At 35.3% G+C, this 13,688-nt stretch overlaps 1 long non-coding RNA gene across 1 annotated transcript in view; it reads left to right on the plus strand.

Annotated features, from left to right (window-relative positions):
* LINC02506 (long intergenic non-protein coding RNA 2506) overlaps positions 1-13,274 on the plus strand; it is a 158,028-nt gene extending 144,754 nt beyond the window's left edge. Inside the window, exons 2-3 of the long non-coding RNA NR_125936.1 lie at positions 3,921-4,135; positions 13,182-13,274. This is a non-coding gene — a long non-coding RNA (long intergenic non-protein coding RNA 2506). The remainder of the gene's footprint in view (positions 1-3,920; positions 4,136-13,181) is intronic.
* Positions 13,275-13,688: the final 414 nt, after the last annotated feature.

Genomic DNA, 13,688 nt, shown 5'->3' on the forward strand with positions numbered 1-13,688 from the left:
ATATTTTCTGTTTCACATATCAGAGTACTCATATGAATCTTCTTGTTACTTCAGTAAATTTTGTATTCAAGGAGTAATTAGGCTTATTTTTGTAAGGAAGTAAATTCCACCTCAGGAGAACTGTTTAGTGACTTCACTTCCTCTTCTTCAAACTCTCAGAGAAAAATGGAAATGCTTCATGCAAGAGATAAGATAAGTCTTCAAAACAACATTTGGTACATTAAAAATTTATTATAGGTGCCAGGATAAATTTGGTGCTACATAACTTTCCTGAACCAATAATGTTTTAAAGATATTTATGATGCATTATCTGAAATACATTTAAAAACTCATTCTGAAAACTACACAATTCAACTTGTTTTTAATGTAAGCATTATAGGATTTTTTTTTTTATTATTGTACTTTAAGTTGTGGGTTACATGTGCAGAATGTGCAGGTTCGTTACATAGGTATATGTCCCATGGTGGATTCATGAACCCATCAACCTGTCATCTACATTAGGTATTTCTCCTAATGCTATCCCTCCCCCAGCCCAACACTCCCTGACAGGCCCTGGTGTGTGATGTTCCCCTCCCTGTATCCATGTGTTCTCATTGTTCAACTTCCACTATAAGTAAGAACATGTGTTGTTTGGTTTTCTGTTCTTGTGTTAGTTTGCTGAGAATGATGGTTTCCAGCCTCATCCAGGTCCCTGCAAAGGACATGAACTCATCCATTTTTATGGCTGCATAGTATTCCATGGTGTATATGGGTTGCTTCCAAAGCTTTGTTGTTGTGAACAGTGCCATAATAAACATAAGTGCATGGGATTTATAATCCTTTGGGTATATACCCAGTAATGGGATTATTGAGTCAAATGGTATTTCTCATTCTAGGTCATTGAGGAATCCCCACACTTTCTTCCACAATGGTTGAACTAATTTACACTCCCACCAACAGTGTAAAAGCGTTCCTATTTCTCCACATCCTCTCCAGCATCTGTTGTTTCCTGACATTATAATGATCACTATTCTAACTGGCATGAGATGGTATGTCATTGTGGATTTGATTTGCGTTTCTCTAATGCCCAGTGATGTTGAGCTTTTTTTTCATGTTTGTTGGATGCATAAACGTCTTCTTTTGAGAAGTGTCTGTTCATATCCATCGCCCACATTTTGAAGGTGCTGTTTCTTTTTTTTCTTGTAAATTTGTTTAAGTTCTTTGTAGATTCTGGATATTAGCCCTTTTTCAGATGAATAGATTGCAAAAATTTTCTCCCGTTCTGTAGGTTGCCTGTTCATGCTGATGATAGTTTCTTTGCTGTGCAGAAGCTCTTTAGTTTAATGAGATCCCATTTGTCAATTTTGGCTTTTGTTGCCATTGCTTTTGGTGTTTTAGTCATTAAGTCTTTTTCCATGCCTGTGTCCTGAATTGTACTGACTAGGTTTTCTTCTAGGGTTTTTCTGGTTTTAGGTCTTATGTTTAAGTCTTTAATCCATCTTGAGTTAATTTTTATATAAGATGTAAGGAAGAGATCCAATTTCAGCTTTCTGCGTATGGCTAGCCAGTTTTTCCAACACCATTTATTAAACAGGGAATCCTTTCCTCATTGCTTGTTTTTTCAGGTTTGTCAAAGATCAGATGGTTGTAGATGTGTGGCGTTATTTCTGAGGCGTCTGTTCTGTTCCATTGGTCTATATATCTGTTTTGGTACCAGTACCATGCTGATTTGGTTACTGTTATTTACCTAGTAGTCATTAAGGACCAGGTTGTTCAGTTTCCATGTAGTTGTGCAGTTTTTTGTGAGTTTCTTAATCCTGAGTCCTAATTTGAAACTGGACCCCTTCCTTACAGCTTGTATAAAAATTAGCTCAAATGTATTAAAGGCTTAAATGTAAAACACAAAACCGTAAAAACCCTAGAAAGAAATCTAGGCAATACCATTCAAGACATAGGCATGGGCAGAGATTTTATGACTAAATCACCAAAGCAATTGTAACAAAAGCAAAAATTGACAAATGAGATCTAATTAAGAGCTTCTGCACAGCAAAAGAAACTATCGTCAGGACAAATAAACAACCTACAGAATGGGAGAAAATTTTTGCAAGCTATCCATCTGACAAAGGTCTAATATTCAGAACCTACAAGGAACTCATACAAATTTACATAAAAAATCCCTATCAAAAAGTGGGCAAAGAACATGAACAGACACTTCTCAAAAGAAGGCATTCATAAGGCCAACAAACCTATGAAGAAAAGCTCAACATCACTGATCATTAGAGAAATGCAAATTAAAATCACAATGAGATATCATCTCACAGCAGTCAGAATGGCAATTATTAAGAAGTCGAGAAACAATAGATGCTGGCGAGGCTGTGTAGAAATAGGAATGCTTTTACATTGTTGGTGGGAATCTAAATTAATTGAACCACTGTGGAAGACAGTGCGGCAATTCCTCAAGGATCTAGAACCAGAAATACCATTAGACCCAGATATCCCATTACTGGGTATATACCTAAAGGAATATAAATCATTCTATTATAAAGATACATGCACCTGTATGTTTATTGCAGCACTATTCATGACAGCAAAGACATGGAATCAATACAAATGCCCATCAATGATAGACTGGATAAAGACAATGTGGTACATATACACCATGAACACTATGTAGCTATAGAAAGGACAAAGGTCATGTCCTTTTCAGGGGCATGGATGAAGTTGGAAACCATTATCCTCAGCAAACTAACACAGGAACAGAAAACCAAACACCACATGTTCTCACTCATATGCGGGAGTTGAACAGTGAGAACACATAGACACAGGGTGGGGAACAACACACACCAGGGCCTCTCGGGGGGCAGGGGGATAAATAGATAATGCATTTGGTACTTAATACATAGGTGATGGGTTGATAGGTGCAGCAAACAAAACAGGTTTGTTACCTATGTAACAAACCTGCACATCCTGCACATGTATCCCGGAACTTAAATAAAATTTTAAAAAAAAGACTCCTAGTAGATGCCTAGACCTTACATATACTATGTTTTTCCTATACATACATATCTATGGTAAAGTTTAATTTATAAATTAGGCACAGTAAGAGATTAACAACAGTAGTTAATAATAAAACAGAACAATTATAACAAAATATTATAAAAAAATTTACATGGACATTGTCTTTCCTTCTCTCTCTCCCTTTAAAAATACCCCATTGTATAATACCTTACTCACCTATTTTTGAATCAAGGTTGACCTGGGGTAAGTGAAACTGCAACAAGCAAAATGACTGATAAGGTGGAACTACTAAATGTTTATATATGTAAACATTACCTTGTACTTTCTCTTAACTCACCACTGTTTTTGCCACACCAAAAGACTTCAGTAAACTTTAGCACGAATGCTCAGTTTCTAGGCTAGGAAATTACCTGAGAATTCTATTTCTGTGGAGAATTTGAGACAGCTATATAGATAGAAGGCACAAAACCAAGTTTCCTAGCCGTAGAATGTAGTTGATGACAGGGCATCTTTATTAATAGAGAATTTGATCTATATTATAAGGCCAATGAAGATTATAGAATGGGAAAAAAAGGTTAAGGTTAGCACTATCCAGTGTCCAACACAGAGAAGCAAAGGTACCTTGAAACTCAAGGAGGATATGCACTCCTTGATGTAACATTGCTTGGAAGAAAGGATATTGTTATGAGAAAGCTAACATATTACAATGGCTAAGGTATGTGAAACCAGCAGGTAGCATAACCATGCAATTTTTCATTCACACTTGAGGAATGAAGGTGCCTCAAAATATAACCAATAGGCATTTTTCGTTCTACAACATTTTCAAGCAGGCAAACAGATAGTCATGCTATCAAGAAGGCTTTATCACAAGCCTCATTGGTTCAAAGTGCTGAAGCTACTCTGTATTCTTTCCCAACGTGCAGATATTTTGCTTACAAATGGAACATATCAAATCAAGCTTTTGTGAACTTGAGGGAAGAAACAAAGAATATGAAGCCTAAATGGAAGTGTCAGGAAATGGTCGCCTTGCGGACAAGGAAACAGCAGCCTGGAAGGCCAGGAGAGGGCAGACTACCCACCTAACCCTCTGCAGAATTTTGTGTGGACCCTGGAGACCAGAAACTAACTTCTCCTGCAGGTATATGTTCCCCCATGCCGGCCAGAAAGCACAGAGAAGGAACACTTCTCCCTGGGTCCTTAGGATCGGACAGCTGGCTTTAGTCCCAACCAGTCATATCAATAATAAATATTGCTATTTTAATACTAGCAACAATGATATAAATTATGGTCATTATCCTTTCCTCACATTTCAAACCCTAAATCACATCCTATGAAACAAATTAGACAAAGATAACCAATAGAGTCCACTTTAATGTGGGGATTTTTTTTCAATGTATTTATGTTCTTTATATCCTCTGTTTTAGAAAATATTTCTTGAAATATAATTTTGCTATGTCTGTTTCCTTAATCCTAGATATTGTATAGTCTTTGTATGTCAATTTGTGGTGTAACTAAGGCAATTGAAAAATACAGTTGACTGAGAATAACTAAAATATTGATTAAATACAATCGGCCTCCTTTTTAGGAAACTGGCCTTTTCTGAGCCATCCAACAGTTTCTAAATAGTACAATAGATAGAACAATGAAAAAAATAAAAAAAAACTTTAAAAATAGCCCAAAGCCATGAATAGTAAATTATTTTTTAAATTCTATATATGTTGGCCCTAGAGTAATTTTTAATCTCTTATTCTGAGAAGACATTTTTTTTTCTTTGAAATCAATGACCTTGGTACTTAGAGCTTGATAAATTTTAAGATGTTTCCCTATTTTACATTTTAAAAACTTTACAATCATTAGTATGTCACTCATGAATGCTGTAATAAAAAAAGAGGAAATAAAGCCTTGTTTTTTGTCAATGCTTATGTAGGTGTAACATCCAGAAAACATTAGTCTTTTGGGGAAGATTTAAATGTTTCCATTTTAATAGGTCAATTAATTTATTTGAACAAAAGCATCATTTTAGAAGGAAACAACAGGATGTGTCTGTACTTGACCAGTTGCAGCTCATTTGCTGATGTTTTCGTCTAAGCATAGGACATCAGTGAACAACAGAAATTTCTAGTAAAAATGATTGCGGAATAATAATAAAAAGCACTTACATGTCTTTATGATGCGCTTAGCACTGTTTTAACCAAGGAGATGGCTATTTAGCTTATCTTCATTTTACATGTGAGAGAATGAGGCAGCAAATAAGGAACACAGCTGAGATTAAAGCCCAGGCTATCTGGCTGGATAATTAGCAGCACAGGTAAGGGAGAACAAAAATTAGGTATATTAATATAGGAATAGGGAAAGTCGCTGAAAGTTAAAGTTTCAATGCAATATATATTTATAAGCATATTACTCATCCAATATTGGTTTGAATATCCAAAAGTCATTTCATTGATTAATTCAGTAAATAACCACTGGGTCTCGTTTAGTCAGTTTCCAAAACCACACTCTATTTTCATTTTCACTTTGCATTTGACTGTCCTATACCAGCTCATTTTCCCTCTACTGTGTGTGCGTAAGTTTTATGGGGTGTGTGTGTGTTGGTGGGGGGGGAGAGAGAGAGAGACAGAGGAGGGAGAGTTGGGTACAGCTCTTTTTCAGATGTGATTACCTTCGGAAGGTTTGAAAACTATGGTTTAATGCAACCTTTTTTCTCTGATTCTCAGTCTTGGGTATATTTGGGGATTTTAGGGTTTAGGCTGCCGCCAAGAAGACTGCTACTGTTATCATACTGAACAGATGCTGCCAACTCTTAAGCTCCAGATATTTCTGTAGAAGCTCTTCTAACTCTTTTAAGAGTTTGCTCAGAAAAGCAAAAGGTAGGATCAGGCTACTGCAAATCTGCCTGTGGTATTTTATCCTGCAAGGTGACAGGTTTATTTAAGATGAAACTTCCAAGTCATGAGCCAGTTCAGAGAGAGTTCTTAATTATTTTTTTCTAAACTTTGTTTATACCAACTTTTAATTCATTTGGCTTAAATGGAATTTTATTGAGGCTATAAGGAGCAGTCTGCATGCTGGGATTTGCACAGAACCAAAAACATTATCCAAGACTAAGTAACAGCTGGAAAGAAACTATGGGACCTCCCACATAACCACCACTGAGAGCTAGACAATGGGTGAGTTATTTGACAGAGTAATAGCAACAGCTGCCAAGTAGGTCTTTTTTTTAAACTCAACTTTGAAACTCTCAGAATTGAAATGAGCGGACTTGGTAGAGCTATTGGGAGTGGGGAAAAACATTCTTAGAATATTCCTTTGCCAAATGAAACCTACTGTGTCTAAAAATCTGCCAAGTCATCTTTCATATCATTATAGCATACTTAGTTCAGGAGTATTTTATTGGGCATGAATATTACTTTAACCTGTCGGTCTAACATCAGTTCTATATAGCACAAATTTAACTATTGATAATTATTTGATAAATCAAATAATGTACATAACCAAGATGTGTTGCCTGAATAATTTAAGTCATCTTCTCCAAATAGTTTGTTATCTACAAAAAAATCACATAGACATCTGAAAATCTATCTCACTCATAAGTATATATTTTTAATATATATAATATATTAATATATGTTTATATATAATATGTTAATATATAATATAATATATATTTATATATAGTAAAAAATAATTTAATATATACTCATAAGTACAGATTTTTTAATAATTCAATATAACCTTGCCAAATTAGAGTGATTATTTTTTGTTTAAAATGAGATTTAATTTCAAAACAAAAACAGATATATGATACATAATTTATAGTAGATTTTCTTTTCTGTCTTTACTAAAATATCACATTTATCAGATTGGTGTTACTCCGCCTCACGCATTTAGCTACTCAAGTATTTATTAACTGAAAGTAAGTCTTCATCATTATTCTCCCTAATACTGGTCAAATCCCTATGTATGCTGACTGCCACAAATAAATCATGAAATAAAATGTGTAAGAAACTTATAATCTAAGGCAATTTTGCAAAGTCGAAATAAAAATACACTCATTCATATAAATTTTTCTTAGGATTTCCTTTATGCCTCCCCACTTAGTAGGCATACTCAACATTAAATCAAACGTATAAAAGCAATATTATTTGTAACATGTCCAGCAATCTAGTTCACCTGGAGTTACTCTAAACTACAAAGCCAATAGAGTTTTTAGGGACATGGCAAGGTTTAACATCAGAATCTGTATTTTTCAGCTGGGAAATGGACAATCTCATAGCTAAAATGAAGAACATATTTGGAGAGCACATAATATACATGAGGCTTTTTAAATGAATTACTGTTTTATGAAAGAAGATAATAGGAATAATTTCATTTTATTTTTTTTCTACTTCATATTAATAGTGGAACCTGGCTATGAATCCTCATAGAGATTCAAACCATGTCCTACCAATTGTTTGGCTGTGTAAAATTGTATTGAAGAAAAAAGATTATTATCGTATTTTGTTGTATTGTCTTTCTGTTTGATCATTTAGTTGTAATTTGGGGAGCTTCCTTACTTTTAAAGGTACACTTAACAGCGTTGTGAAATCATGCTTTGCAGAGGCAGGTTCTATTATCAAATAAATTTTTATTCTGGTAAAATAGACAATTCAGAAAGATGAAGAATGGTGGTCTTTGATAGCTATATGATTGTTCACTTTTGCCCACATAGACAAGAAAGACTCCCTCGGAAAAATCTTTGAGATAAGAAAATATAAATTAATGGATAAAAATGTAAGGGCATTTAAAGTGGATGTTCAATCTTTGTTGCAGCCAGCAGGAGCCTTGAGCGGCTGAATTTTTGCTGTGGCAAGAACAGGAATGAGCTGTCCTTATCAGTGTATTCATAAAAACCAGTTGTTTTATGAGAGGTTCATACAAGTTAAAACTTGAAACAAATGCGCATAAGAATAAAAATATTCTCGAGGAATAAACCCCTTTAAACTATTTGTATTCTTTTGACTTTGGAAGGTAATTCTTGTAAAAGTGCATTCTGAACTAACTACTGAAGCCTGAACTTGTTGAAGAGTAGTGAAAATGGCAAGTCTGACATCAAAGTTTTACTATTTACATTACTGTAAATTCAGATTTCAATGTTTTGGAAAAAAAGGTTTTTTAGCAATGGACTCTTTAAAAACTTTTTTCACAGCACAACTCACAGTTAGTTCCAAGGCGATTAAGTGCTTAAGGGCAGCTAGCTGTTCCTGTCCCTAACTAACAAACTTTTATTGGATAACCTTGGGAGGCTTGATGAATTTGGTTTGGTTGGTCCTTAGAAATGAGCATTTTGCCCTTGAAGGATTACACAGACTACCCTGGAAGCAAAATGGCTAAAACTCAGTCACGTATCAGTGAGCTTCTGTGTGTCCAGCCTTTGCACCTCTGGAGTTCCTTGCCCATGAGATTCCACTGCCTACTCCAAGTCCTTCAGCCCATTCCTTTCTGTCACTATGAATAAACATACAGTATTTCAAAACTAAAACGACACTTGTCCTCATCGCAGAAATTTTTCCATTTCCCTTTTATTCCCTATTTAATTAAATGCATAACCATATATCATGTGCTCAAACCTGAAACCTAGAACTCATCTCTGATTCCTCGTTATCTCTGAGTCTCATTACTTCTATGAACAAGTCTTCAAAAATATCTTTGCAATCCTTGTACTACCTTCCATTTCTACTACTACTACGAACATCCAGGGCAGTATCATTTCTAGCTTGTATTAACCATCTTATATCTAACTTCTAGAAACACACACATACACATCAGTTTAACCATATTAGAGGTAACATATATTTTAAAATATAAACTAAAGCTGTTCACGTACTAGTTTAAATTATCTTCGTATTTTTCTTTTGCACTTGGAAATACATAAAATTGGCTGGGTGTGGTGGCTCATGCCTGTAATCCCAGCACTTTGGGAGGCCATGGTGGGCGGATCACCTGACGACCTGAGTTCAAGACCAGCCTGAACAACATGGAGAAGCCCCGCCTCTACTAAAAATACAAAATTAGCTGGGCGTGGTGGCGCATGCCTGTAATCCCAGCTACTCATGAGGCTGAGGCAGGAGAATCGCTTCAACCCAGGAGGCAGAGGTTGCAGTGAGCCAAGATCATGCCGTTGCACTCCAGCCTGGGCAACAAGAGCGAAACTTCATCTCAAAAAAAAAGAAATATATAAAATGTATGAAAATAAGGACTATATATACGCCAATGTATAAGTAGTAACTCTTACCATGCTTTGCACATAGAAGGCATTCTATATTTTTTTAATTCATAAATGAGCAACACAGTGGTTTTGCTGTTATACCTCCCATACAAAGTTAACCCTACTTACCCAGAGATAACTCTTATACTAGTCCATTGTATGGTATTCTGTGCATTCTCTTAGTCTTTTCATTTTATTCTGTTACAGGAAAAAATGTGTATTCGCTTTGGCTACAAACTTAATTAACTGAGAAGAGAAAAATGTTTTTATTATATGTTGTACATTATTTTTGAAAATGTATATCATAATTTCTAAAGTTTATTTATGTATTCATATTGCTTACATAATAACTCCAAATACAGATGCCATTTCTGAAGATGAAGAATTATGTAAGAACCATTTTCTTTGTCCAAAGAGGGTTATTCTCACTTTTCATAGTATATTGGAATTCTAAGGGCAAATGGTAGTTAAGAATGTACTTTTCTGCAAGGAGAATTCATTTATGTCACCACCTGCTAGCACCATCATCAGATTATCTGCCAAATCTCATATTTTACAATATTAATTTAAATACATTTATTTTTCAATATCTTCTATTGGCTTAGAGTAATCTAAATTTTAAAATCAAATGGTGGCAATTAAATAATTGCATATCTCTGATTTAATATTAATGAAGTTAGAGGCTTTTTTATTTTGAGATGGGATCTCACTCGGTCAGCCAGTCTGGAGTATAGTGGTGCCATCTCAGCTCACTGCAAGCTCCACCTCCCAGGCTTAAGCCAGCCTCCCACTTCAGCCTCCCAAGTAGCTGGGACCACAAGTGCACACCACCATGCCCAGCTGATTTTTGTATTTTTGGTAAAGATGGGGTTTTGCCGTGTTGACCAGGCTAGTTTCAAACTCCTGAGCTCAAGTGATCCACCCATCTCAGTCTCCCAAAATGCTAGGATTACAGGCATGAGTCACCATACCTGGACAAGTATTTTAATATTTAAAAAAAAAGACACTATCAAGTTGTGGCCCTAGATAAACAGAAAAACTTTGTAGCTTTATAGAAGAAAGTTAAAAGGGACTGTCATGAACCTATAGGCAGTTTCTTATTTCCCATCATCAAAACAGAGGAATCAAGTTCCTCATCAAAGTCCTTCTCTGACCATCCGTCATAAAACAGCAGGTCCCACTCTATTATCTGTCTCCTTAGTGTGCTTTATATTCCTTAATATTATTGATCATATTTAATATCATATTATGTACACAATTGCATATCTGTTTATTATATGTGGCCTTGGCAAGAATGTAACATCCTTTGGGGTAAGGGGGATTATTTTCCCCACTTCAGTGATACACATCAAAGACCTAGCAAGTAAATATGTATTTCTGGAATGAAAATATGTGATACTCAAGCTTCAAAAGAAAAAAAAAGACTTTGAAGGACATTCTAACAGAACACTTGAACATGGTGTTTATCATACTTCAATACTCTCCCTCTACCTGACAATCCCAATTTTTTCAAATTACCTTTGTAAAGATATTAAATTATAATTAAAGCAACCCAAAAGAAGACAAAACTCCCCTGTTCTCTGAATTTCATCTTTGTTCTTTTCTTTCCATTATTTAACTTTTTTTGATAAGCCTAAATATGTAATGTAAGCACTCAAAATACATTTAGATGATTTTTGTGATATGTATGTTAAAAACTATAATGTTTTCCAAACTTAATTTCATTTATTTCAGTATTATTAAATTACATAATTCTGCACTTTTCACGAGTGAGAAAATGATATTTGAATGTTCAAAATGAGTCAAATAATTGATAAATCATTTAATTTAAAACTTCATGTGGATTTATGTAATAATCTGATGAATGGTTATCAATAGGCTAATAACATTTAAATAATAGCAATACCAATTAATCCCAATATACCAGTTCAATAATGTCCAGAGTATTGACTTTCCAACTTTCAGCTATTCCCTCTTCTTAATTCTTCATGGCTTAACTTTTACAATATGATTATCCTACTCTCATTCTTTTCGGCTTCTATTTCATTTCTTCATAAAATATTCAATTTTAACCCCATCTACCAGCCTTCCAAATCACGTATCAGGATTGCTAAATGGTTTTGAATTTATGTGTATATATATATGTGTGTGTGTGTGTGTGTGTATGTGTACATATATATGTGTGTGTATATATATGTGTGTGTGTGTATATATATGTATGTATGTGTATGTATGTATGTATGTGTATATATATATATATATATAACTTTAAGACCACTGCCAGTAAACATCAGATTAACAACCCTAAGTGGCATTCAGGACCACTTCCTTAACCTTCTACTTCTGTACTCTCTTTAAAAGCTATTTGCTGTTGTCTGTATTTTTACAATTAATGTCATTAGATGTCCTCAACAATTCTTTTGTCTTCAAATGAGGCAGCATCGCATCTTCTCTGTCCTGGGACAATAGCTCCTCCTCTTTTATAAGGCTCTACCTGTGCCTTTACTGTACAGGTTCTCTACCTTGATGCTATTGGCATTTTTTTAACGGGTTCACTTTACATTGTTTAGCAGCAACCCTTTGACCACTAAATGCCAGTGGCAAACGGCCACCCCTAGCTGTGACAAACGTTTTCAGACATGAGGCCAAATCATCTTAAGTTGAGAACGACTGCCTTAGTGAATACCACTCCCTAACCATGCAATTCAGAGATCTTGTCTTAGAAAGTAACAAGTTATATAGTTTGGATGTTTGCCCACTCCAAATTGCATGTTGATATGTGATTCCCAATGTTGAATGTGGGGCCTAATGGGAGATGTTTGTGTCATTGGGACAGATCCCTTATGAATGGTTTGGTGCTCTCCAGTGATAAGTTCATGTGAGAGCTGGTTGTTAAAAAAAGATTGGGACCTCCTTCTTCTCTCCCTTGCTCCTTCTCCTGCCACGTGACATGGCTGTTCCGCATTCCACTGTCTGCCATGATTTTAAGCTTCCTGAGGTTCTCACCAGAAGTAGATGCTGACGCTATGTTTCTTTTACAGTCTGCAGAACGATGAGCCAAAGTAAATCTCTTCTCTTTATAAACTGCTCAGCCTGAGGCATTCCTCTATAACAATGCAATACACTGTAAAACAGCAACTGTTTGGTATCTGCTCCTTCTCCGCTTTTTCCCAGTAGCATGCCATTACTTTCTTTTTTTTTTTTTTTTTTTTTTTTTTTTTTGAGATGGAGTCTAGCTCTGTCGCCCAGGCTGGAGTGCAGTGGTGCAATCTCGGCTCACTGCAAGGTCCGCCTTCCGAGTTCATGCCACTCTAGTAGCTGGGACTACAGGCGCCTGCCACCACACCTGGCTAATTTTTTGTATTTTTAGTGGAGATGGGGTTTCACTGTGTTAGCCAGGATGGTCTCAATATCCTGACCTCGTGATCTGCCAGCCTCAGCCTCCCAAAGTGCTGGGATTACAGGCGTGAGACACCGTGCCCGGCCAGCATGCCATTACTTTTAATGGCAAAAATTGCAATTGCTTTTGCACCAACCTAATAAATATGCTCAATTTTTTTCTCATCTAAAAATAAACTTTTTGAACCCCTATTTTGGTTTCTAGATACTGATTTATTACTTTCTCTTCAAAGTTAAATTTTTGAATCAGTGTTTAAACTTACTTTTATTATATTTCTCTCTCAACTACAAGAAGTCTTTAGAAAGTAACCCGTTGTTCTCCCCAATGGAAAACATTTAAAACTTTATGTTTAAACACATTTGACAGTGTTGCTTACTCAGTAACTTTAAAATGCTCTTTGGATACAGCTTCTCAATCTCATGCTCATAAGCTTCTTTCTGGATTCTTCCCATAAATATTGGTGTTGCTAGCTTCTGCTATAGTCCATTTTATTTATTTATTTATTTATTTATTTATTTATTTATTTATTCTTTTTAGAGACAAGGTCTTGCTCTGTCACCCTGGCTGGTCTTGAACTCCTGGCTTCAAGCAATTCATCCATCTCAGCCTCCTGAGTAGCTGGGATTACAGGTACAAGCCACTGCACCCAGCTGTTTTTTGTTTTGTTTTGTGTTTTCTCCTCACCATATAAGTTTAATTGCCTAGTTTAAGCTCCTACCGTCTTTCATCTTCAACACAGAACTATCTTGGTGTTAAGAAATCTATCTTTAACATTTGCTGATTGGCTGACTAATCACTGTATTATGAGTTATATCCATTATAATGTTTTTAACATGTTTATTTTACTCAATGGGGAATCTAGATGACTTGCTGCATGTGAAGAACAGTTCCTGGCACAGGGTTTGCTCCAAATAAATGTTGTCATCATCACCAGCACCATCATCGTCACCATCATCATAAATGTAAACATAATAATAGCAAATACCTTACTGAGCTTAAATGTATGTTTAATTCAATGTATTTAAAATTAAATCCTTTATCTCT

The sequence above is a fragment of the Homo sapiens genome, chromosome 4 (genome assembly GCF_000001405.40).
Source record: "Homo sapiens chromosome 4, GRCh38.p14 Primary Assembly".
NCBI lineage: Eukaryota > Metazoa > Chordata > Mammalia > Primates > Hominidae > Homo > Homo sapiens.